We start from the raw sequence: 27,263 nt of genomic DNA on the forward strand, positions 1-27,263 counted from the left end.
ACAAAAATGAGAAGGATTTAAAAGAAAAAGCCAAAACCCCAATTCTCTTTCTTCTACACTCACAAAACTTCTCATACCAAATGTGTAGGGTTTTTTTCATACCAACCAATTCTCCAGTTCTCTGTGGACTCCGGGTATTCTGCAATTTAACTCAATTTGGATACTAACTGCCTGGAATTACTTGCTTCACAGGTTGAGAGCTTGGCCTCACAAGATTGCTTAGAAACCAATTGCAAGTCCAGGTCTCCGATATTTCTTACCGACTGCTATGAAGTGATTCCTATAACCCCCTCCTCAGATTCAGTGATTTGCTAGAATGGCTCACAAAACAGGGAAACATTTACCTAGGTTTACCTGTTGATTATACAGAATACAATTCAGGAACAGCTAAAAGAGAGATGCATAGGGCAGGGTATGGGGAGGAACTCAGAACTTGCACACCCTCTCCAGGTGAGTCACCCTCCCAGCTCCCCTATGTGTTCACCATCCCGGAAGCTGTCTGGACTCTGTTGTTTGGGTTTTTATGGAGGCTCTATTACGAAGGCATGATTGATCAAATCATTGGCCATTGGCCGTTGGTTATTGAACTCAGTCTCTAACCTCTCTCCCTTCCCAGGAGGTGGTGGGGTGGGGAGCAGAGTGACAGGGGATGAAAGTCTGAATCCTCTAATCACATGATTGGTTGCTTTGGTAACCAGTCGCCATTCTCCCGAGAGTCCTCTCATCATAAACTCAGGTATGTCTGCTCTTCTTACTACCGTGTTTCAGGGCTCAATGCCAGGAACTTGAAATGAAGACCAAATATATGTTTCTTATTATATCACAGTATCACAGAGTTAATTACACCAGACCTGCACTAAAGGGAATAATAGAAAGATTGGTCTTTGGCAGAAGAGAAATGATCCTGCATGGCAGCTTTAAGATGCGTGGAAAAGTGAAGACCAAAGAAAGGAGAAATAAGATGGTAAATGTAAATGAACACTGTTGGGTAAAATAATTATTTGTGGTTTAAAATACACATAGAATTTAAAAATATAGTAGTAGCATATAAGTTGTGGGGGTGTTAAATAAAAGTTAATATCTTACGGTCTTTTCATTGCCCAGGAAGTGGTAAAAATATTAATTTACTTGAGACTTTGATAAGTCAAGGACACATGTTGTAATCTCTAAGATAGTCATTAAAAGAGTAGTAAAATATATGTAATTAACAAATTAATAGAGGGGAAATATGGAATAGTAACAGCAGTAGTAGTAGTAAAACTTGATTAATCTGAAAGAAGGCAAGACGACCAAAAACAGAAACAGAGCATGTGGGAAAAATAGGAAGTGAACAGTAAGTTGTTAGATTTAAACTTAGTCTATCAGTAATTATATTAAATAAAAATGAACCAAAATTTCTAATTAAAAAGCAAAGATTGGGAAATTGGATAAAAAATCAAAGCAGATCACAACTCTGTACCGCTTTCAAGGATGTAGAAAAGTTGAAAATAAAATGGTAGAAAAGCCATATTACTCAAACATTAAAAGAAAACTGGTGTACCTTTATTAACAAAGTGGGCTTTAGGGTAGAAATAATTGCTTGGGATAAAGACATACATAATGGTAAAATACTCAATTCAGTTCTCCAGGAAGTTACAACAGTTCTACCTCTGTATGTACCTAAAAACACTATCTCAAAATACATAAAGCAAGAATTAACAAAAATGACAAAGAACAGACAAATCTGCAATTCATAGTGGAAAGTTTTAATATACCGTCTTCATTAACTCAGAAACAAAGTATCAGTAAGGACATAGAAGATTTCCATAACATAATGAACAAACTTGACCTAATTGAAATCTCAGTGGGTTTATGTGTAATCTAGACGTACTACTGTCCTGTGCTTCATAACGATGTTTCAGTCAACAAGGGACTGACTAAATATATGATGCTGGTCTCATAAGATTTTATTGGAACTGGAAAATTCCTGTCTCGTAGGGATGTCATAGTGTCATAGTGTAACACATTACTGTTTCTATGTTTATATGTGTTTAGATACAGATACCTATCGTGTCACAGTTGCTTGCAATATTCAGTACAATAATACGCAGATTCATAGCCCAGGGGCAATAGGATATACCATATGGCTTAGGAATGTGGAAGGTTGTACTATCTAGGTTTTTGTAAGTACATCTTTGTGTAAGTACGTTTGTGTAAGTACATTGTCATCTTTGCACAATGATGAAATAGCCTAGTGATGCATTTCTCAGAATGTATCCCTGTTGTTAAGCAACAAAAGACTGTTGAAAATAAGATACATTCAAAATGAAATATGGAATATAATGAAATATGAAATACAACACTGCACCCAATAACTGTAGACTGTACATTCTTTTCATATGCATAGGGAACATTGATCAAAATTGTTGATTTATAGAGTAAATCTCAACAGATTTCGAAAGACTAAATTCAGAATATCATACTTACAAAGACAGGTTTAATATTTGAAAAATTGATCAGTATAAATCACTAAATTAATAGAGTAGAGCAGAAAAATCATGTGATAATGTCAGAGGTGCAAAAATTGCCTTTGGCAAAATCCAATACCCATTCAAAATGGAATCTCTTAATACATTATGAATGAAAGTTAACTTCCTTAATTTGATAAAGATTACTCAGAAAAATCCTATAGCAAACACCATGTTTACTGGTGAAATGTTGGAAGTTTTCTTTTGAGACAGGGAAAGAGAAGTTGTTTTCACTGTCACCAATTCTGTTTATTATTTTACTGGAAGTCCTACCTAGTTGAGTATGGCAAGAAAAATAGTACAGGGATGAGAAAGGGAAGAATAAAACTGTGATTTTGTAGATGACATGATTGTATATGTAGAAAATTAAAAAAAACCTCTTTATAACTTATTATAAATAATAAGCTAGGTTGCAAGATTCAAGGTAATTCTGGACACAATTGCAATTTTATATGCCAACAACAAACACAAATTCCAAATTTGTATCAATCTGGATCCAATCAGGAGAGAGAAACCAGTTGTATTAGTTTGTCCTCATAGGGCTATAAAGAAATACCCAAGACTGGGTGATTTATAAAGAAAAGAGGTTTAATTTGTTCATGGTTCCACAGGCGGTTCAGGAAGCATGGTGCCGGCATCTGCTTGGATTCTGGGGGAGGCCTCAGGAAACTTACAATCATGGCAGAAGGAGAAGGGGAAGCAGGCTTGTCTTACATCGCCAGAGCAGGAGCAAGAGAGAGAGAGAGGAGGGGAGGTGCTACACACTTTTAAACAGTCGGATCTCCTGAGAACTCAATCATGAGAACAGTACCAAAGGGACGGTGCTAAGCCATTCGTGAAGGTGCACCCCCATGATCCAGTCACCTCCCACCAGGCCCCACCTCCAGCACTGGAGATTACAGTGTGGACATGAGATTTGGGTGTGGACACAGATTCAAACTTCATCACCAGTAAATTGAAAGCAGCGTTTAATGTGGATAATTACTAATTATAACAGGGAATCGAAGTAAGGAGGGATTTGGTTAGGCTAGTGAAAAGTGAAGAGAATTGTAAAGAATATGAAAATAGCAGATAAACAGAGCAACTGCTGCCCCTGGGGCTGAGGTAGAGTCTGCAAGGAAGAGTCTCTCCTTCCCCCAGGACCAAGATCCAGACCTCATCCAGAGAGGGCATGGCTGGTTTACTGCATGGCCAAGAAGTTGCTGGCATGTCATACTAGTGGAACTTAATGGAAATCCACCCTCTGATACCTGCCAGAAGTTGCTCACTAGGGCGCCACACAAAAGCTCTTCATGGGGAGGTGTCTCACTGGAGGTACCCTGCTACAAAACCTCCAGAGTGGGATGCTGGGGGGAGCTGCTGGCTGCTGGGTATGGCCTGCTGTTGTGTGCTGTAGTCTCTGGAGGCTGGAGCAGCTGCAGGTGCTTGTAGAGATGGGTACTGGAGAAGCCACCTGCGTTGCAGGAGCTGGACGCCATACAATTAACACAATGTAGAGCAATCTGGAAGGCTGTATATATCAAGATGGCCAAGATGGAACCAGTGTTTTTTTTTTTTTTTCTCTGTGACAGATAGAATTATGATGCTTCCCCCTGCCGCTTTTTTTTTTTTTTGGTATTCATTCAGCATTTATTTAATGAATGTTGAGTATTTTCTCTATTCCAGACAATGTGTTTGTTACGAGATACATAACAGCAGACAAAATAGACATTGAACTTGTTTTTGCAGTTTATAGGCTGATAGGACAGTCAGTCATTCATCTGAGCTCTTTTGTGCCAGGCACTATTCTAGTCACTGGGGGGATAGATGGATAGATTAAATAGATTGGTTAGATAGATGGGATGGATGTATGGATAGATAGATGGATCAAGATAAAATCTTGCTTTCAAAGGGAGACAGCCATTGAGCAGATAATTAATTATAAGAATGGGTACATACTTACACAGTGCTATAAAGGGTGTAAGAAGGAAAAATACAGGCTGCTACAAGAGAGGACAATGTAATTCAGATGAGAAGCCAGGGCAGACTTCTCTTAGAAAGTGATATTTTTATGATGAAAGTGATGAGGAGGAGGTTAGCTTGGTGAGATGAGTGATCAGAGAAGAATGATCTAGATGGAGGGGAGGCTTGCGGGCAGACTTCATGATGGGAAGAGCTCGGCATGTCTGAAGTGAGGAGTGGGAGGTCTCTAGAGGGTAGGGGGAGGTAGAGAGTGGCAGGAGAAGAGGCCACAGCAGGGGTCATGCTACTCACAGCCATAGGCCACCTTGGAAACTAGGGTGTCCCTGTGAAGGGTTGCCCGTGATAGAGGTCTGAAATAGGAGATTCTTGGACTGTTTTGCTATTTACAGCCACCGTGTGGGGTGCTGAGTGGTCAGGGGATTGGAGGCAAGAATGGAAGTTGAGAGACCACTGGGTGCAATTTGCAGGAATCCAGTGAAAGTTAACGGTGGAGGTGGCGCCAAGGCCCAGCAGTGGAGCTGGAGATAACTGGATGGCTTGGAGATGGGGTTTGGAAATAGAGTCATTCAGAACTGGTGATGGATTGAGTGTGGGCTGGGAGAGACAGGGAGACATTGAGAATAACTCCCAGGTTTCTGGCTTAAGTCATTACATGGCATGTGATGCCATTTTCTGTGTACTTTTGTAGTGAATACGAATTACTTGTTCAATTAAAAAAGTAAAATAAGTTTGGATTTGCAGATGAAGAAGGCTTTGGTGACCAAACAAACAAAACCAAAGCAGTTGCAGTGAAAGTGAAGAGGTGGAGATAGTTGCTACAGACTACTGCAGTTCTGCATCTTCAAAGAAGCCAGAAAGTAGCAGGCAAGGTAGGGTCGGGCTGTAGGACAAGGACATGTGTTTTGTTTACAGAGTAGGATAGATGTGAGCAACTTTCATTGGGAGAGAGAGCTAGACCATAGAGGGAAGAGAAGGCATTCGTTAACTCAACAAATATTTGAATGTCTGTATGACAGGCAATACTCTAAGCTCTTGGAACATACAAAACATAAAAAACATTCCTGTCTTCTGGAGCTTAATGTTCTAAAGTGGGGACACTGAAAATCAAATCATGTGCCGAGTGCACTGTAAAAAGAAAAAAAAAGCCTATTAATGGGGAGATCTAGGGATGTTGAGGTGGGACGGCCAGAAGGATGTAATTTTATGTTGTGGGTGGCACTGATGGATTTGATGCCACTAGAATGCAAGATATGCCAGGGCAGAGATTTTAGTTTTACTCACTGCTGCATCTCCAGTTTAGAATGGTGCCTGGCACATAGTAAATGCTCAATAAAGAATTGCTGTGCGAATGAATTAATGATTCAGGATCCCAGGAATGGGAAGGAATGAGGAGTGGGATACTGAAGAAAGAAAGATAGGCCAGTCATAAATGAAGACATATTGTAGGGATGTTAGTACTGATATCTCCAATTCAAATTACAGTTGTTTTTGCTTTTAAAGGATTTTAACTGTTCAATTGTATTTTGAATTCTTTGAATTAGCTTTGTTTCATGGCATTCATTTTGTTTACTGTATGTTTCTTAGACACAGTAATATAGTTTACAGAACTACTTATCCTTAGGGACATTACCCACTTAAGAAGTGACTGTTTTCAGTATTATTACAATAAAATTGAGATTACATATCACTTTGTATATTGAGGTTCTGTTACAACCTGTCTTTTCAGCATTATCCTTAAAGTGGTGTGTGTGGTGGTGGTGGTGGTGGTGGTGGTGGTGTGTGTGTGTGTGTTGGGGGGGGGGTGTTGTGATTGTTTTATGCCCATTACAGAAACCAGTTTAGCCGGCATTATACTGGTGTGGTTATATATTAAATAAGTTAAATTTCTTGCAGCTACTCTTTTGATCAGTTAATTGGTCTGATCCTATAGTGGGTATTTTCATGGGTCTCTGCTAAGTTTAGCCTCACAATGATTTTGTGTGTCTGAAATCGTATTGACAGGCTGTAGCTCCTTCTAATTTATGCATGCGTGAAGAAGATTGTCCTCTATTTGCTGAGTCTTATGCTTTTATATGAGGACCCCAGTGTCGTAACTTTGCCATAACTCAGGAAGATCTAACTTCTGACTGTGCAGTATAGAGCATTCCTTTGTCTAAAAAAATAATATGGATGTTTTAAGACCATTCAGTCATAACTGGAAGCTGCCTTATAGTTAAAGGACTTTACATATTAATGAAGAAAGGGAACATACAAATCATTATGTCCTTTTTGCCATAGATTGCTGTCCCCTCCCATAGAAATTATCTTATTATATTTTATTACAACAGTGTATGTAAAATATATACTTATAAAAGTAATAAATGGTCTTTGAAAAATTCTAATAACAGGAGTGTAGAGATTATAAACTGATTTTATCCTAAAATTGTACATCCTAGGAGATAACCATTGTGAGCAATTTGATTTATATCCTTTTTTGGACTTTACAAATGCTTGTGTAAATCGCGTGTGTGTTGTATGTATATATGTTTGAGTGTACATACAAGAGGAATCATATACAGCTTCCCTGTTTTTTCCTCCCCATTTATACACCATGTTGTGGACATTTTTGTGTCAGTGCCTGTGTGTGGGTATGTGTGTGCATAAAGACATAGCACGGGTATGCCATAAAAAGTTTTCAGCCAATCCCTTATTGGTTGTCGTCATATTTTGCTCTTACAATAAGTGATGCACTTAACATCTCCAGTTATGTTCTAGGACAGAAGTGCTTGTCAGAGTGTAAATATTTGACATATGCCCTTAGAAATGTTGTACCAGGCCAGGTGCAGTGGCCACTCCTGTAATTCCAGCAGTTTGAAAGGTCTGGGCAGAAGGATCACTTGAGCCCAGGAGTTCAAGACCAGCCTGGGCAACATAGGGAGACCTGGCTTTACACAAAATAAACAAAATTAGCTGGGCATGGTTGTGCGTTCCTGTGGTCCCAGCTGCTCGGGAAGCTAAGGTGGGAGGATCACTTGAGCCCAGGAAGTCGAGGCTGCAGTGAGCTGTGATCGTGCGAGTGCACCCCAGCCTGTGCAACAGAGTAAGTCCGTGTCTCAAAAAAAAGAAAAGAAAAGAAATGTTGTAGAATACCAATTTGGACTCTCATTAGCTAAAAGTGAGAGCATCCATTTCCCCAAACCCTTACCAATGGTAAGTGTTGTCAGTCTTTTAAATCCTTTCTCAGCCCAACAGGTAGAAGACTCAGATCTCCTTTTAATTTACATTTCTTTGTATATTCCTGCAATTTAGCATGGTTTGACCATTTATGCTATTTTTTTGGATATGTTACTTTTTATAATAGTCTTCAGTCTTTTTTTCTAGTAGGTTCTTCGTTCTTTTTCTTTCTGATTTCTGTTTTTCTTTTAAAAGAAGTATGTATAATATTTCTCCCTTTAGTCATCTGTATTTCAGTCTTAGTTTTCTTAACTCATTATGTCCTCATGCCAATCCTATGAGTCATGCTCCCAAACTCTGAATCTTTTTGGCCTTGATGGCATGTGTACTTGGTCTTTCCCACACCAGTAATTAAGTATTCTCCCTAGATTTTCTTCTTTGTTTTGAATTTTTATCCTTAGATGTTTAATATAGCTGAACTTTTTTTATATGTGAATGGGATGAGTTAGAGCTCTAATTTCATTTTTCTCCAAATAAGATGGTTATTATTGAGTCATTGATCATTTTCTACTGATTTGAGATGTTGCCATTACCATGTGCTAAGTTTCCACAAATATGTGGTTTTTTACCTGAACTCCTTGTTCATTGATCTGTTTATTCTGTGCCTACAAAATTACCACATTGTTTTTTCTTTCCTTATACACTGATTTAGTTTTTGTCATTCTAACATATTGTAAAGAGGAAAGTATTGCTCCTATTCTGTTCTTAAAGGTCTATCAGGGCCGGGCGCAATGACTCACACCCGTAATCTCAGCACTTTGGGAAGTCGAGGTGGGCGGATTACTTGGAGGTCAGGAGTTCAAGACCAGCCTGGCCAACATGGTGAAACCCCATCTCTACTAAAAATACAAAAAATTAGCCTGGCGTGGTGGTGCATGCCTGTAATCCCAGCTACTTGGGAGGCTGAGGTGGGAGAACTGCTTGAACCCGGGAGGCAGAAGTTGTAGTGACCCCAGATTGTGTCATTGCCCTCCAGCCTGGGTGACAGAGTGAGACTCCATCTCAAAAAAACAAAACAAAAAAACCAAAAAACTGTCAGAAGTGGAGTGTGACTTACTTTTTTTTTTTTTTTTTTGGGTCAGAGTCTTGCCCTGTCACCCAGGCTGGAGTGCAGTGGTGTAATCTCAACTCACTGCAACCTCCACCTCCCGGGTTCAAGTGATTCTCGTGGCTCAGCCTCCCAAGTAGCAGGCACATGCCACCACGCCCGGCTAATTTTTGTGTTGTTGGTAGAGATGGGGTTTCACCTCGTTGTCCAGGCTGTTCTTGAACTCCTGACCTCAAGCGATCCGCCCGCCTTGGCCTCCCAAAGTTCTGGGATTACAGGCATGAGCCACTGCGCCTGGCCATGGAGTGTGACTTTACAGTAGAGATTCATTTGTCTAACATCTCTGTTACTGGTTTCAGTAAGATCACATCATCTTTTTTGTCCTTTGGCAGCAGAAGTTGTAGGTTAACGAAAACTAAAGCAACTTTTCTTGTCACTGAGATGGAATTGAAATGATCTCTAACCCATACTTCTTCAGCCATGACTTCTCACATCTTAGAACACATTAAAAATAAGAATATTTGTAGGACGTACTGGAGAATGAATGAGTATCCTTGAGGTCAGAAACCACTGGTCAGGGGTTAGCGTGGCTTAGTTCCCCTCACAAGGCACGTGTAACCCATTTACATTGAACTGCATGTCAGTAGGGAAGTGTTTAGGAAGTGCTGCTGTAGGCTAATGTTCTTCAACTTTAAAATTTTCTCATGACACGTCATTGTAGCTTGATATGGATTGGCCAAACTGCTTTAAAAAATTTTTAATTGTGGTAAAATATACATATATAAAATTTGTTGTCTTAACCATTTAAACATTCACATTGCTGTGCAACCATCAGCACCATCCATCTCCAGAACTCTTCTCATCTTGTAAAACCGAAACTCTGTACCCAGTCAACAGTAACTCCCCATTCTCCCTACCCCTCGCCCCCGGCAACCACCCTTTTACTGTCTGTCTGTATGAATTTGACTATTCTAAGTACCTCATAAAGTGAAGTCATATAGTATTTGTCTTTTTTTTTTTTTTTTGAGACGGAGTCTTACTCTGTCACCCAGGCTGGAGTGCAGTGGTGCAATCTTGGCTCACTGCAACCCCTGCCTCCCGGGTTCAAGCTATTCTCCTGCCTCAGCCTCCTGAGTAGCTGGGATTACAGGCTTCTGCCACAATGCCTGGCTACTTTTTATATTTTTAGTAGAGACAGGATTTCACCATGTTGGCCATGGTTGGCCAGGCTGGTCTCAAACTCCTGACTTCAGGTGTTCCACCTGCCTCGGCCTCCCAAAGTGCTAGGATTGCAGGCGTGAGCCACCACGCCCAGCCTAGTATTTGTCTTTTTTTGTGACTGGTCTATTTCATTTAGCCTTATATCATCAAGGTTCGTCCATGTTGGAGCATGTGTTAGCCTTTCCTGCCCTTTAAAGGCTGAATTCGTTATGTGCACACCACATTTTGTTGATTTGTTCATCCATCCATGGGTGCATGGGTTGTTTCAGCCTTTGGGTATTTTGAATAATGCCATGAACATAGGTGTAAAATCTGAGAGCCAGACGTCTTGAAAGAGTTTTGTTTTTTTTCTTTCATTTTTTAACTATTCCAATTTGAATTTAGCTTCCATTATTCCGCCAAACCTTCTTTCTTAGATCACTATTAAGTAGAAGGAACATTTTTCCTTTTTAATGATTTTTCAGACATACTCACCCACTTTGGCTGTGCCATCCTCCCTTGGCTCTTGGGATGGTGCATGCCCCCTGTTTCTCTCCCACTTAGGAGATTTCCTTTGTGACCCTCCTCTCGCATCATTTAAAGGTGGAATTTCCCCAGAGCTTGACCCTGGGCCTTCTGTCTGTGACCATTAAATGTGGGTATTTCTCAGCAATTAGAGCGAGGCTCTTTTCTTTTCCCTTGTTTTGGAAAGAAGAGAGTCAAAAAAGCTTAATCAAATAATCTCATCTTTTACCCAAAAAAGATAACTATTTTCTTCGGGAAAAAAGGTGACAAGAATATAAATCATCAGAATTACACTAATTTGTTTCTGAAGGAAATGATAAACTTTCCCCCAGCTTTGTTGAGGTATAATTGACAAGTAAAAGGTGTATATGTTCAAAGTATACAATGTAATTTGATGTGTGTGTACATTGTGTAATGATTAGCACAATCAACCAGCACGTCCCTCACTATACGGTGTTTTACTGTGTGTGTATGGTGGAGGAGAGGAGTGAGGACACTTAAGATCTGCTTATTAATTTGCTTAGCAAATTTCAAATAAACAATACAGTATTATTAGCTGTAGTCACCGTGCTGTACATTACAGCCCCAGAAAATATTCATCTTATAACCAAAAGTTTATACCCTTTGACCACCATCTCCCCATTCCCTCCCCAACCCCTGTGAGTTCAGGCCCTTCTCTATATTCCTTCTTATTCTAGGTGACCCCCATCTGCTTACAGAGATCCAATCTGCTGATGGCTCCTAGGTTTGTTTCATGAGGTCAGAGCTCTTTGCTGAGCCCCACTCCAGAGCTGCCTCCTTGCTGTCTATGCTGAGTGTCTGATGGGTGCTCCAGCCTCATGTCTGAGATAGAGCTTCATGATTTTCCTCCCACGTCCCCTTCCGTGTTCTCAGTGAAGGGTACTTGAGCCTCCCAGGCGATCAAGTCAAATTTCAGGGATCAGTTTTAAAGTAAACTTTTTAATTTAGGATAGTTTCAGAGTTATAGAAATGTCTGAAGAATATTAAGGAGAGTTCCTGTGCACTCCACACCTGTTTCCCCTGCTAACATTACTGTGGTACATGTTTCACACCAGTGAACCAGTACCAACACATTATTTACACTGAACTCTACACTTCATTCAGATTTCCTTAATTTTCCCCTAAAGTCTTGTTCTTTTTCAGAATCCCATTCAGGATGCCACGTTACATCTAGTTGTCATATATCTTCTTAGGCTCCATTAGACTGACAGTTTGTTAGATTTCTTCTTGTTTTTGTTGACCTTGACAGACTAAGTATTTTATACAGTGTTCTTCAATTTGGATTTGTCTACTGTTTTTCTCGTGATTAGACTTGGATAATGGGTTTTGGGGAAGGAAGACCACAGCGGCAAAGTACCATTCTCATCACATCATATCAAGGGTACCTGCTCTCAACATGATTTACTACTGATGATATTAACCTTGATCACCTGGCTGAGGTAGTGTTTGTTAGATTTCTTCACTGTAAAATTACTGACATTTTTGACACTTTCCTCTTCTTTTTATCTGTTTTGAATCCAAAACAATTCCTGCTGGTTCTTTTTCCCAAATAAATTTCCATTCTGTCCAAGTCACTCTTTGCAGCCACTGCTGCAGTCCAAGCCACAATTGCCTGTGCGCAGACGGTATTGAGCGATCTTCTGACTCATGCCCTGCTTGTGCCCTTGCCTTCTCCAGCCCAGTCTCCACCCAGATGCCAATGTGGTCCTTTTCAAATGCCAGTTGGTCAGTGGTACTCTTGTTCCCAAGCCTTTGAGCGGCTTCTTGTTGTACTTGAGATACCACCCCACCTTCTAGACACAGTCTGCCAGGCCTGCTTAAGCTCGTCTCTTGTCACCTCTCTCATCTCCTGCCAAGCCCCTCTCGCCTTGTCCTCTGTTCCAGCCACCGGTTTCTTGCCCGAGTCCCTTCAACACTCTCAGCTCCCTTAGACATGTCGTTGCCTCTGCTTAGAATGATGGTCGCCCTCCACCTTGGTTCCCTTGGGACCCCAGCTTACATGCCATTTACATGTTGTTTCTTCAGGGGACATTTCCCATCCACTTGCAGGGTCCATGGGGCACTCTTGCTGGGTGTTTCTGGAGCATGCCACACTGTACCCCTGATGCTGGGAGTTACTTGTTCTATGTCGGAATTGTTCCTCAGTGCTGGGGTGGACAAGGCTGAGACGTGCCTCGGCATGTCACTGTGTGTCCCTGTTACCTGTACTGAGCCTGTGCCAGAGTGGATGCTTGATAAGTATTTGTTGACTGGGTGAAATTTTTTAAAAATTAAAACATTTTTAATAGAAATGGGGTCTCACTATGTGGCCCAGGCTGGTCTGAAACTTCTGGGCTCAAGCAGTCTTCCCTCCTTGGCCTCCCAAAGTGCTAGAATTACAGGTGTGAGCCACCGTGCCCAGCCTGAATGGGTGGATTTTATCTTTTGAATGGAAAACACTCTTCATTTTTAGCATGCCAGTATGCAAAAAAGTACTTGAATTTATTTTTCTTAGTCCATTGATTTAAATCCCACATGTATTCTTTTAAATCTGTCACATAAGGTGCTGTGGTGGGTACAGTAGTGGATCTAGAAAGTGTGTTCAGCCTCTGCCACTCCTGAGGGCCCATTCATTCATTCTCTCATTCACCAGACAGTTACTGGGAACCTGGGTCTGCCAGGCCTAGTGCAGAGTGTGGGGTTATGAGGGCTTGTGAGTGAGCCTGTTGAGGGAGAGGGAGAAACTTATAGATCCTTCAGCATTTCCAGTTGTGGTTAGGATAGATTTGGGCGGATTTAGTTTGAATTCTGGCTCTACCATTTTTAAGATCTGCACTCTTGAGCTTAACCTCTACCCGTCTGCAAAAATGTGGGCAGCATTGTCTCCCTTGTAAGTTGTGGAAAGAATCAGCTAAGAAAAGGAATGTAAGAGGATCAGTATAATCATAGTAATCACAGAACTAATGGTTTTTGCCTTTGAGGTCCTGAGTACTAGCCTAAGTAGTTACATTAATTATTTTTGTTTATTCTCACAGCAACTCTGTGAGGTAGGGATGTTACTGTTCTCATGTTGTAAATGAAGAAAGTGAGACCTTAGTTGAAAAATTAAATACTTTGTCCAAGGCACAGAAGTAGTAAGTGGGAGAGCTATAACCTGAACCCAGGTTCAAGGACGGCGTGATTTTAAAGCCCAGAAAGGACTCCTTACATTCTGTGTAGCTACCCCATCTTCCAGTGTGGCTTTATTCTTTAAAGTTGTAAAGACTTTTTAGGTATCTTGGCATTTAAAAAAATGTAATAGTCTTTAGAGGGACGATTACCTTAAGCTATTATCAACTTGAATTTGTTTCTTTATTCACATTTTAGCAGCTTTGACATCTGTGACTTGGTGCCTGTGTTGAGGAGAGAGGGTATATGTTGGGACTGGAGGATGAAGTTTGAAGTTAGACCCATCTGGGCAGTATTTATCTTAAAGTGAGAATTGTGAACTTGTAATCAGACTCACCTGGAAGATTTATCAAAAACGTAAATTCCTTAACCACTTCTTTGGTACCCCACATTATAATCTCTTAGGGGTAGGACTTAGAAAACATTTTTGCAAGTGATGTTATTTAGATAGTGGATTCTTTTTCATTCTGAAGTTTGAGAATCAGTGAATAGAGGGAATGGGAAATGTCAACTCCTTGATGATCCAGACTGCCCTACAGGAAGCCAGTGGAAAGATGAAAGTGAACCCTGGTATGCCTGGCTAGTAAGTTTAAAAACAAGTAATGTGGAAATAAAATCAACAGTCGGTGAATTTGTCTCCCTGTTGTTTTACTTTTTATATTATTTGTGTTTGGGAGGAATTTGATTTGTATTTTATGATCATTTTTCCCTAGTGGGTAGTGGGGTAGCACGAGAAATGAGTGGGTCTAGACTATGATAGAGTTGGTGCAATGCAGCAGGCCAATCGGAAGAAAAAAATTTAAGCATATTTTGTGGATTAGCATGTCAGTTGCAAAAATAGGAGTATATCTAAAGCTGATTTCAGATAGTCTCTTTTTAGCGAAACTATGTCAGACTGTGCCCGGACTTTTGCTTTGGAAAATATGGTAATTTCAGGTTTGTGGCTAATTTGAAAATTAGTAATCAATACTAAGGGTTTTAAATATGTAGCATTTATGTGTTTATTATGTATTTCTATATTCATAAACATTGAGGATTCTTTTATTGTCTCATGTAACAAGAAGACAAGCAGCTCAGGGATGGCGGCTCCCGTGTGCTTCTCCATGATCTCTCAGCTTCCTTTGTGTGGATGGCCACAGCATGGCTGCGTGCCTAAAGCACGCGGAGAGGGCAGCATTCTTGTCTCAGGCTCCCCACCCACCATTCTTAAGCAGCTTTGTTGAGGTATAATTGGCATACTAAGTTGTGCATTGTCTTGTACATTTTGCAAGTGTGCATCTGTATACACCGCACAACCATTACCATACTATGATAATGAGCATGTTATCACTCTCCAAAGTTTCCTGGTGCCTTTTGCGATTCCTTCTGCCCACCCTTCTCCTCCTTTTGTGAAAGCTTTGATGTTTTTAGGGAAAAAAAAAGTTACATTATTGAGGATAAAATACTAGGTAGAAAGATATTTAACTTGTAGTTTTCGCTTTTTTTTTCTTTTTGAGGAGTATTGTGGAAATAATATGATTGTAGGTATAGGTTGCTGTAATATTTATAGAAAGTTTTGAGAAACAGATTCTCTGAACAGACCATCTTGGAAGAGTTTGACAGGAAATATATTTTCGGAAAGGCTGGAATAGAGGTGGAGATGGTGCCTGCTGGCAGGAGAGGGAGAGAAAGGGAGGACAGCACCTGCCGGCCACTTGCGGGTGAGCTACAGACATGAAAGCCAAAGGCTGCGCTTTTCTTTGGTTTTTCAATAGATGGCATTTTTATCATGCTAGAAAGACTAACATGAATTCTAACATGAAATGGTAATAAAAATGTAATCCCCACTAACTGTAGTGTATACATAGCTCAAGTGCATTTTTTTGTTGTTGAATGGCATGCTGGTGATTGATTTATTTATATTTATAGATTAAAAATAATAAACTTTGCTCTCATTGTAATCACCTCTTTTTTTTTCTTTTTTTTCCCTCCCCCAGAGACTGGGTCTTGCTCTGTCACCCAGGCTGGAATGCAGCGAGTGGCACAGTCTCAGCTCACTGCTGCCTCCACCTCCTGGGCTTGTGTTCCTTCTGCCTCAGCCTCCTAAGTAGCTGGGACTGCAGGCATGTACCACCACACCCAGCTAATGTTAATTTTTTGTGGAGATGGGATCTCCCTATATTGCCCGGCTAGTCTCAAACTTCTGGGCTCAAGTGATCCTCCTGCCTTTGCTTTCCAAAGTGGTGGGATTATAGGCGTGAGCCACAGAAGCGTGCCTGGCCTGGGTAGTTCTTTTTAATTGTTGAATATACTTGCTGAGGTTAGTTTCTGCTGCAGAAAGCATTATATAATGTTGAGTTAACAGCGATCTTGTAAAGAGTTAGTAGAATGTGTAAAGTTTTACCTGGGAGGCGGAGGCAGCAGTGAGCCAAGATCTTGCTACTGCACTCTAGCCTGGGTGACAGAGCGAGACTCTTTTTTTTTTTTTTTTAAAAACAAAACAAAACAAAACAAAACAAAACAAAAAACGACTGTATAGGGTTAAAAAACGACTGTATAGGGTTTTATTTTAATGGGTTTCTTCAGCTGTCTCCTTTTAGCTTCTATGACTCTGCATTTTCTTGGCTCTTTGTTTTTCATTTCTTTACAGTTCTTCCATGTATTTTGTTTTGAAAGTAATATGCCTGAGGTGAAAATGGCGGCATTTCTGTCATGATTTAACCTTACTAGAAATGACATTCTTTGTTCTTTGTCTGTTTAGTTGAGAAGTGAACCAATTCCCTGTGCTTAAAGTACTACTCCTTGGTGTGGGGCAGGGAGGGAGGGGGGAAGATTTTTAACATAGAATACAAATTGAGTTTGTTGGAAAAGGTATCCCTATAAAATGTTGTCCAGGTAGTTAGAGCTTAATATGGGTGATAATTTCCCTAGAAGAATATTCTTTGCTGTAACACTGATGACTTGATGGACTTGTGAAAGTGAAACTTGGTGTGTTTCTTCTTTCAGCCTCCATGTAACTCACAGATAGGGCAGTGTAGAGTAGATTTCCAGTTTTAGATTAAGGATAGCTTGTATCCTATGCAAGGTTTTGGGGGTTGGTTAGGGTCTTTGAGTATTTCCTGTCTAATTCACTTACTAGTTACAAAGAGACAAGCTGTAATGTAAAAAGTCTTCCTTGAGCTAGACTAGCTTTCTGTACTCTTTGATTTAAAAATACCTGGTAGTTCTGCCAGTTGGGGATTTGTTTGGGGTGAATGAAAACCCCTCAGGCTCAGTCTGTTCATGCACTGGTGTGTATTAATTCAGTCCATTCATAGTCATGAGCTGACTGTGCCTTATTGAAGAAAGGGAGGCTTCTGGAAGAGAGAGGAAGATGGATAATCTTGGATCCTGAAGCACTGCTGCTGGCGCCTGGGAGTGGGGCAGGAAGACAGGAGGTTCTGAAGAGAGGGCTTTGTATCCAAAGTTAAGACTTAGGCCAGCCCTTGATGGGGAGAGAAGCTACTCAGGCCCAATAACCTCAAATAGTTCAGGTTAAATCGACAGTTGTCAAGTCTAATTCCTCTTTACAGCATTATTTCTGTGGGAAAATGTGTGTGGCTTATATACTTGCCTCAGCAAACAGACCGGACTCAGAATCAGCTCTTTGTTGTCATAATTTAAGTGGAATTAGTTACTCCCTAGGGTTGCATTGCCCCTTGGATGGCTTCTAGCCTTCTTTTTACTTATTAAATTATATTCCAGGTTCCTTGACTGTGAGGGACATAGTAAACTCCTAGTAGCCTTTACCTTCCCCTCCCTAAATAGCAAACTCATGTAGAAAACATTAGCTAAAATCCTTTGCAGATTTTTTTGAAATCACCTAAAATGTTGTTATTGGCACCATTTCATTTGGAGCCATTTTGTCAGAACCACTAAGTATTTAGGTGAGGCGATTGATTTCATTCCCACGTGGGAATTTGGTTGGTTGTAATATTCAGGCACTCAGAGCAATTCCTGCCTGGACGTCACGTTCAGGTAGTCTGGTGTCTGAAACTTTTGGCAGAGATTAAGCTGATAGAAGATTTGGGCTAACATTTTTTAGTGTGTGAGTTGGTGAATTTTCAAGATGATTTAGAAGACTTTAAAAAAGCATCTGTGAATACTGCATCATCTTGATGTCAAGAAGAGATTGTTATTTAATACATACATGTTTTAGTAATGAAGGAGGTACATAGAGATAATTGATTTGAACCGGTTTACTTTTTCCCCTTTTTAATGCAAAATATTTTTGGGAAACAGAACTTGACTCGTGTTACACTACTCGCTTCTTGTTTTTTGTTACAAACATGCTGAAATGGTCTAAATAATGATGCTACTAAAACAACGTATGCATTGTTTTCATGGGGTGTTGATTCCTTCTGCAGTGTTCAAAATTACTTGCATGCCTCCGAGCAACAAACACATATGTGACAGACTTTATGTGAGATGAGCATTCCAGAGAAATGAAATGCAAGTTTACTTTTCAGTAGCTATGCAACTTAAAAAAAAAACATTGTGTTTTTTGAAACATGGCTTTAGGGCACTAACACTCGGACCGAGTGCATGAGCTCTGCAAGTTATTTTAACAAAACCTAATCACAGGAACAAACATCTGGCATTTATAGAGTTTGTTTATTTATTGATTGCCGTAAGCCTCTAGAAAGAATATTCTGTTTCTTTTAATAAAATCCTTTTGGAAGTTGTCTATATTTTAATATCTAAGTGTTTTTGGAATTTAGTTTTAACAAGGTTAACTCAAATGTTAAATTTATTGTGGGCTACAGCTGAAGTAGGAGAATGTAAGAAGAAATGGCAAGTGGGAACTCTTGTAAAAAGAATGGTAACTAAGTTCTTTTTCCTGGTTATGCTCCTGCCATTTACTCTTCTGTATGGCAGGCCATCATTTACACTGCTTTGTAGAATCTGCTGTCTAGTAAGCACTAAGGAATTTGGATCCCTAAACCAGGGAGCATATAGCCTGCTAAAGCTTAATTTTTAGACAGGAGACACTAAAGATGATTGTGTTATGATACTGTTCATTTTATATACTAGTGAAATGAATACTGAAATTATTTAGTATAACCATTAATTATAGTGCTTACCATTACTGCAAAGTTTGTCATGATTTGGGTGGTAGCTTCATGTTTCAAAACAAAACCATAGGTCTATCCTTTTAAAAAACATAAACTGCTTTAGTTTGTTAATGGGAAAAGTGAGTAAATAATAACACTTATTGATGAAATGAAGCCTGTCAGATACAGGAAAAACAAAACAAAAAACCCTTGTAGATATTCCTCGTGTCAAGCCCCTATTAATTCTGTGTAATTCCAGTAGAACTAGCAAGTTATTTTGCTTAAAATGTCTTTTTTTTCCCCTGTGCAGTGAAAGTTGAATGTGAGACCACATCTTAATAGATATAGTTACACGGTTTATTTTATCATGTATCACTTTATTGCTGTCTTCTAGAACATTGTTATACTAAATGTTCCAATAATGGAAATTTTATGCAGCTACTTCAAATGAAACAAATTTGCAAAAACTCAATTTTGGAACTCATTCCTTGAGGAGAGGAAAAACTCACCATGCTGTGACCACATTAGATTTCTGATATGTTGGCAACTTATCAAACACTGTCATTTCCAGAAAACAGGTTATGGGGTCAAATTGAAATATCAGCACTTTTGGTCACTTTCAGTTGAAGATATTTTAGGTTTTAATGATTGAATGGTTAAATTAAAAAAAAATTGTTGGTAACAGGTAATGAAAGTGTGGTTTTGTATGTAAATAAAAATGGCTCTACACGACATCAGGAATGATGGGGTTCAGTTACAGTGGAATCTTTTCAAGAGCTTGATTTTAAATTCTCAGAGATACTAGTTTTACTTACTGGAGCTCCTTTGTTTTGCAGAGATCATGATGCAGCCGTCCTTTTGGATTTCTTTTTAATAATGTGTGACCCTTCACCTTTGATCCCCTGACCTGCATTACCTTGGTAACCATTTCATTTTTTAATTTAATTTCATTTTTTAATTTTGGTGTACAAGCTGTAACATTTCATCTTTCAAAGTGTAACACGCTGATTTCCTCAAATAGAGATACCCCTTTGAGTGATAAATTTGCAAAATGCTGTCTTCATTTTCTGTATTAAAATTCATTTCAGTTTTAAAATAAAGTGTAATCTGTGTTTTCATCCTTTTAAAATTTAAGTTTAATGAGTGCATTTCCCCATACAGTATATTTCCTTTTTTATTCATGTTTTGCAGAAGCTGAATTAACTTGATATTTACGTATAACTTACACACACCCAGGACACCCATACCTCTTCTCTACTCCCAAACCACCCAAACCATTGCCCCTCACCTTATCACACATACACCCTCACCATCACCACCACCACCACCACCACCACCACCACATACCCTTTCCTCTGCAGAGTAACTTATCTTTCTTTCAGAAATAGTAGCAACTTGAATTTATTAGTCTTAGCTGCCACATTATACATCTTCAGATTATATTTTGTATTCTGAAGTATTTTGGGGAGAAAAAGCTTAGACTTTTAATTTTAATTTCATTTAAGGACTAGAAAAATACAAAGTTGCCTCATTACCCAAATTCACCTTTCCCCACTCTTTTAATATTTTATTTCTTTAATTTTAGGCATAAGTTAAGAACAAGCAATTTAACATGACCAAAAAATGTACTTTTGTCTCTGCCAAAACCTGGTCAGCCAGCCCTGGTAGTCTCAATACCAGATTGATTTCTGCCATATGCAATTTCATGACTGTTTTTCAAACAATGCATTTTTATTGTATTTCTCTTTTCAGAAAATTCTTAATCTAAAGCAAAACAAACCAAAACCGAAAGACAGAAACCAAACTTGAGTCAGTTCTTTGAACTGGCAAGATACTCCTTAGAAATCATGTCCTTAAAAAAAACATGTGAATTCTCTCAGCATGGCCCACTGAAGCACAGATTACTTTTTAAGTGTCTCATTATTTTATTCTCTAACATTTAATGCTGATGTTTTAATTGCACACAGCTGAAGCTGCTAAATGAGTACTGAAATGGATTTAAGTCCTCTTTGAGCTTTGTTGATACCTATAAAAGTTTATGTCATTCATTAGAACCACAAATTAAAATTAGTCGTGGTTAGCTGTTCACTGGCGATTGGAACTCTCACGAACAGTTTTGTTCAGGCTCACGAGCTTGTTCTTGCCTAGTATACTTGGATGCCTGAAAAGCTGCCTTTGGCCTGTTGGGTATGTTTTCTTTTCACAGAATTGCAAAATATCAGAGCTGAGAAATACAAATAGGTAAACCATCCTATGATTATAAAGCCCCTGTGATTTATAATGTCCCAGTAGTCAGGAGCAACTTTTTTGCTAAACCTGGAATTTTAAGGTGATTTTTTTTTTTTTTAAATAATGCTTTTCACAGTTGTGCTGGCATGTTTACCAGATCCCCAAAGACTTTTTTGCCTTAAGTATGTCCTTTATTTGTTCCTTTGATGCCATGTCCTTCTAGCACTAAAGGAATGGCATCTGGCTCAGTGGATGGTACATGGAAGCCATGTGGGGGGCCATGACTGCTTGTTGCCTCCATTCCTCTTGCTCAAGCAGCCCCAAACCGGCTGACCCCTGAGGGATGAGCTGGTTGATGGTCCCCAGGAGAGTCACAGCTCCCTGCTGTTGGAATCGGCTCCCCTGGGGCTCCCATCTGCCTTTGAGGTAGACAGTACTTTATTTGTAAGTCCAGTAGCAGCTGAAGAGAAATTAATAGGTTAAGACGAGAAAAGTTTTTAATTCTCTTATTTTACGATTAGATCAGTTAGATTTTCTTTAAAGTTTTCTGCTTAATACATTTTAAGATAACCTCATTTTTCTAAGAGAGCTAGTACATGGACACATTTATGGCTTATTTCCAATGAGCCTTGTTTATTTGGTTAGCATTTAGGACATTTAGTAGACTGTAAGCCAATGGATGTTTTTGTAAATGTGATTCATTGAGAAAAACCTTCATTTGAGAGTCAGGTAACCTGCTTTGGACTAGCAAAGTCTCTGGATATGTTACTGGTATCTGTTGAGGTAGTCACACAAAACTGAAATACTCCAACAGAAAGACTTCAGAAGACTTTCATTTTGGTGTAAAAACAGTGAAATTAGCTGTTTGACTTAAAATATAGGAGTTGTAAGACATTTCATCGATGCTACTTCTGTTTTATCCTCTGTGAAATGTAGATACTGTGTGTCTCCCACTTGCTTTTTAGGGTTGTTGGGAGGATAAATGAAACTGTATGACAGACACACTGGGAACTCAGAAGAAAGGTGCTGTTGAAACTGAACCTCATCCTATGGCTGTGCCGTTGGCAGGCATAACCGGTGTGCTGAGAGGCAGTGGTAGTGAACCCCGTGGTGAAAGGCCAGGACCATGGGCTCTGGAGCCAGGCTGCCTTGGTTCGAATCCCACCTCGACCTCTTGCAAGTGGTCTGACCACAGCAAATCACCCAACCTCTCTGTGCCTGAGTTTCCCCCTCTTTAAATTGGGGATGATAATAGTACCCACTAAAGGATCCTGGTGAGTTTTAGCTGAGCACATGTCCACAAAGTCCTTAGAGCAGTGCCTGCCATGTAGTGTGGCTGATCCTCACACCCAGAAAACCCCAGCAGGGGGACTCACACCTTACAGAAAATCAGGTTCGAAACCATTCCCCAGTAGTCTTCTAACACTGACTTAGAGACCCTTATATGTTTAGAGAGAGGAACCGAATAGTTTATGGTAATTAAGCTCCTCTAAAACAGATGCAAGTTCAGGTGCATAAAGTTAAATCTGGGTTTTTAATCTCTTAGGAAGAAAAGTTTAGATCACAAAGAGCTCCATAACCCTTTGTTGATAGGTTCTTTTAACTGTTTTTGGCTATGGAGGGACAAGGAAGGAAACCTGAGGGACAGACCCACCTTTTACCTGCTTAGCCTTTCTCGTTCCCTTTTACGCTTGGTAAGGTGTCTAGGGAGCTTTGAAGGAGTCAGAAGTGTTGAACTGTTTCAAGGTTTTCACCCAGCTGCGGGAGGCTTCGTTGTCCTCTTGAGTGAGGTGGAAGGGACATCACTGCCTTTCCTGAGTGTGTAAGAATGCCTGTTACATATTCATCCCAGGGCTTTCCATACATTTTAATCATCCACATTTACCTACAAGGTGGGTGGTATGTTCACCCCATTTTGCACATGAGAATGCTGATGCCCAGATAGGTTAAATAAATTCACCCAGGCTCACACCCTCAGTAAACTGCCAGACAGGCACTTAAATCCAAGTGCCATTCATATCACAGCACTGCTGCCTTGCATTGAGCTGCAAACCTGGCTGAGCCACTCCTAGGAAACGGTTTTGCCCTTTTAGTTGTAGGGACCTCAGCTGTACGCATTATCATCCTTCAGCCATCAGACCTTTTTTTGTTTTTGTTTTTTGAGATGGAGTCTCGCACTGTCACCCAGGCTGAGTGCAGTGGCGCGATCTCAGCTCACTGCAACCTCTGCCTCCTGGGTTCAAGCGATTCTCCTGCCTGAGTAGCTGGGATTACAGGCGCCCGCGACCACACCTAGCTAATTTTTTTGTATTTTTAGTAGAAACGAGGTTTCACCATGTTGGCCAGGCTGGTCTCGAACTTTCCTGACCTCGTGATTTGTCCACTTTGGCCTCCCGATGTGCTGGGATTATTGGTGTGAGCCACTGTGCCTGGCCCAGACCTTTTAATGCAACAGCGCCCCTAACTTCTGAAGGCCCCTAGCTGGCTTCAACAACCGCCCCTCTTCCTGCCCCCCATGGAGGGCTCTGTCATACATGTGTCACTTTTAGGGACTCTTATTACCAATGGCTTCCTTAATCCTGGCTGCACATCCAGATTCCTCTGTACAGCTTTTAAAATAATTCACTTTTTAAGAAACACTTGCCCCATCCCAAGACTCTTGTTCTAGAGAGATGGATAGGTTCAGAAATACAGGAAGTTTATTTTGTAAACAAGAAAACAAATAGGTCCTTACATTGTGCACATATGGATCTGTGCTTCTGGAGTGTGGGCCAATGCTGTTAATTCTGTAGTTGACTCCATTGTAAGGTAAAATGAGTTTTATGGGCCAGTTTAGTTGTTCAGCCAACAATTGTTAGTACTGTTTCTGTAGGAAAAGTTCCTGGCATCCACCCTGTAGAATACCATCTTCCATGAGTGAGCACTTGATCACCACAGAAGCCAGGTTTGAATTTAGTTAGAGTGAAATGAAGTAGAGGGCCCTGCTTGCTTGCTTGTTCTTTCATTTTTTTTTCTCTTCCTCTCTTTTATGGGTTTATCGTTCCCTTCTTTTCTTCTCCTTCGTAGTTCCCTCTTTCCTTGTTTTCTCTTTCTTCCACCATCTGGCGTATGTTTACAATGTATCTGTCATCAGACTGTGAGGTCCCTGAAATCCTTCAGGTGCCTACCACAGAGTTGACGTGCAAATGAATGTTTCTTTATTTTTTAATTAATTAATTTTTTTTTTTTTGAGACGGAGTTTTGCTCTTGTCGCCCAGGCTGGAGTGCAATGGTGTGATCTTAACTCACTGCAAACCTCCGCCTTCTGGGTTCTACCGATTCTCCTGCCTCAGCCTCCAAAGTAGCTGGGATTACAGGCGTGTGCCACCGTGCCCAACTAATTTTTGTATTTTTAGTACAGACAGGATTTCACTATGTTGGCTAGGCTGGTCTCGAACTCCTGACCTCAGGTGATCCACCCGCCTCGGCCTCCTAGAGTGCTGGGATTACCGTGGTGAGCTGCTGCGCCTGGCCAAATGAACATTTCTTAATTTGTCTTAGTATCTGTCTTTCAAAGAAGTAGGTACTGCCCGTCATTAGCTTGAAAATTGTCAGATTTTGTTTGTGATTGTCTGTCCTAACTTAGGTGGTTTATCTTGAAGATCTTAGGTAATTTAGCCTCATAGATTTAGATAGATCGAGAAATGGCAGGCTTCAATCACTGAATAGTACAGAATGTTGGGCAATAAGATGGATTTGGACCATTCAAGGGAGCACTTATGTCAGGCTTTTAGCATATCTGCTGCATAGTTTTTAGAGCTGGAAGGTCTGAGATCATCTGGGTTGGACCCTTCATTTTTGGTGGTGAGGAACCCACTCCTGAGAGAGAAAGGTGCTTCTTCGGTGCCCGCCTCCAGGCCAGGACTTGCCTCCTCCTCCTCTGTGTCCTTAGCTGAGTGAGAGTTGGGATGGCGGAGAGCAGAGGCAATGTGACCGCATAGCTGCTGCGATTAACTGCCTGCCTCTAGACATGTTGGAGAAACAGTCAAAGTAATCATCCTTCTGCGCTCCCCCTCCCATGGAAACAAATGATAGAAGGTTAGGGCAGTTTTGAGGGCAAGCGGCAGACTTCCTCACTGTGAAAGTCGGGAAGCTTTGGTTGTGCCCTAGACCCTGTCCTTTTGGCCTTGGCACCACCAAGTGGGCTGCTTTAGGTGTCCATCCTGATGGTGTTTAACCCTGCTTGAGGCTTTTGAGGACACTAAGAAACACATGGTGAAGGTGTGGAAGGATTTTTTGTCATTCCTCAATGAAGATCTGCCCTAGGTAGAAAGGGAGTTAATGAAGGAAAAGTCGGCAACGCTATTGCTGCACGATCAGGAAATAACAGAAAACGTCTCCCATTTGTTCTCATTTGTGGTGATTGTTTCCCTGGGAAACTGGCCGTGGTTACCATCACGCTGTGTGATGCTCCTCAGAATCCTAGAATTAGACGAGATTTTCCACTTTCCGCACACATCTTCAGGTGGGGTCGCAAATACTCCATATGACAGACTGTCACATACGCTGGCCACAGAACTTCAATTATTCAGGTTTGGATATCCAGCCCCTTTTCTCTCTTCTGTGTGGATCCTTTTGAGTACTTTATACCTCTAAGCCTTTCGTATTTCCAAAGGAGAAACCAGAATGACTTTTGTCACTCTTTTGTAATGGTGGGAAAAGGACTGGTAGGGGAAACTACCAAGGTTTGACCTGGGATCTACTTTACCTGCTCTAGTTCACCTTGGAGCATCTGACCATACATAGGTCCTTGCACATAGTAGATACTCAGCAAACATTAACTGTCTTTTCATTTCTCATTAGCACAGGTAATTAGGAACAGGAGCTGATAGACTGCACGTATCTGTGCAGAGATATATCTGTAATTAAAGTTTTAATTAAAGAAACACCAGACCAGGCAGATGGTTCTTATCCCTGCATCCTGTAAACCAAACAGCCGTGGCTTTTCGATCTTGCAAACATGCAAAGCTGAGAGTAGCAACATTCATGGTGGTACACCAAAGGGAATAGGTTGTCTTATAAACTAACCATAATCTAATTTTGGTAGCACTCTATGTGATGCCAGATTCAAGGATAATCATTGCAGTTTGAAATGAAAGACAATACATCAAAGTTATGTCCCAACCAAAGCTTTTAAGCCTCAAGTCAAGGGCATTACCACAGCCCAGCTCGTAGATCACAAGACGTGTGGTTTTGTGCTAGATCACAAAAGCTGACAAGGTGTTATTTAGGATTATCAGCTAAATACAGTATTAAATTAGAGGGCTATCATTCTGATTTTTCAGGCATTGCCACGGTATAGCAGTACAGAATTGAGAAGTGACTTGTACCTGCCTGCCTCATGCAGATCCTCTCAGCCATGTCACAGTGACCTTAATGGTCAATTGAGTGCAGAATTTGAAAACAAAAAACAAAAACACCCACAAAGAGTGACAGAAGACGACTTCTCTCATATCTTAGCACTTTTCCAGGAACCGCTCCCCCAAGGATCCCCAGCGATTTGTTCTAGTTCCGTTGCCATCAGCAGGAAGCTGGATCAGTAAGGGACGTGGGCAGATGGTAAAGTCCATGGCAGTTCACCATGACCGCTTGGGCTTCACCCATTCCATAACCCCCAGTTTCTTACCCCTCCTCAAAACCCTTCACTTTGTCACACATGTCATTTTCAGGCATTCAGTGCAGATAGGCAGCTGTGCAACGGGATTACATACTAGTTGATACAAGTATGTTTTTACCACCTACATCTCACTAATTCATTTTCTACTTGGTAGAACCAGTACTGAAGATGTTCATTTCTTTTATCACAGCGAAGAGTTTTAGTTTAGAGGCTAGGAGAGTAATTTCTACTTTGCTGAACAGTGAATTACCTTACCATCCCTGCACTTCTTTTAAAGGAAGTAGAGTTTCCGCTTGAAAAAGAGTCCATGTTATACCGGGATAAATATAAGGATCTTCACATTAAAGAATATGTCATCAAATGTAGAGCCTGGAAGTATTTTATCTTAATACCATCTATAAAACTCAGTCATCCTAGGAGAAATGTGTGTGTGTAAGTGTAAGGAGACATACCAAACCCACAAGACCCTGTGATGTGCTGTGAGCGAAGCCTGTGTCTTGGCTGGTAGACAGAAATGTGTCCATTACTTTCTGGCTTGGGGAAGACTTCAGGTATTTGATGATATGTCCTTTGGTTTCAGAAGTCAATTAAATCTTAGCTGCTCTGAGTAAACAGCCATTTGTGGTTGTGTTTAGAAAATACAGTAAGATCAGATTTGTGCTGCTAGGTATTAGGTTGGCATT

The 27,263-nt window shown here is 40.5% G+C and overlaps 1 protein-coding gene across 36 annotated transcripts in view, besides 1 other annotated feature; it reads left to right on the plus strand.

The window, feature by feature from the left end:
- CAMTA1 (calmodulin binding transcription activator 1) overlaps window positions 1–27,263 on the plus strand; it is a 984,253-nt gene that overhangs the window by 66,772 nt on the left and 890,218 nt on the right. For 3 of the 36 annotated variants that reach the window (NR_146203.2, NR_146202.2, NR_038934.2), the window contains exon 3: window positions 19,532–19,615. The exons of 26 other annotated variants lie outside the window; for them this stretch is intronic. Coding sequence is in view for 3 of the 10 variants with exons in the window: in XM_017000781.2 (XP_016856270.1) it covers window positions 827–964; window positions 19,532–19,540 (147 nt within the window). In the remaining 7 variants the exon portion in view is untranslated. Of the gene's footprint in view, window positions 1–826; window positions 965–19,531; window positions 19,792–21,889; window positions 22,199–27,263 lie in introns of those variants that run through there. 7 more of the 36 variants (NR_146204.2, NM_001349627.2, NM_001195563.2 and 4 more) reach the window with 4 other exon arrangements.
- Window positions 15,120–15,852: an enhancer, noted in NCBI's record as "H3K27ac-H3K4me1 hESC enhancer chr1:6927405-6928137 (GRCh37/hg19 assembly coordinates)". NCBI's record gives its function as "activates a minimal SCP1, AML or CMV promoter by ChIP-STARR-seq in primed H9 embryonic stem cells {active_cell/tissue: H9 hESC(primed)}" and the evidence as "EXISTENCE:reporter gene assay evidence [ECO:0000049][PMID:30033119]".

Source organism: Homo sapiens, chromosome 1 (assembly GCF_000001405.40).
Source record: "Homo sapiens chromosome 1, GRCh38.p14 Primary Assembly".
In the NCBI taxonomy this organism is placed as follows: domain Eukaryota; kingdom Metazoa; phylum Chordata; class Mammalia; order Primates; family Hominidae; genus Homo; species Homo sapiens.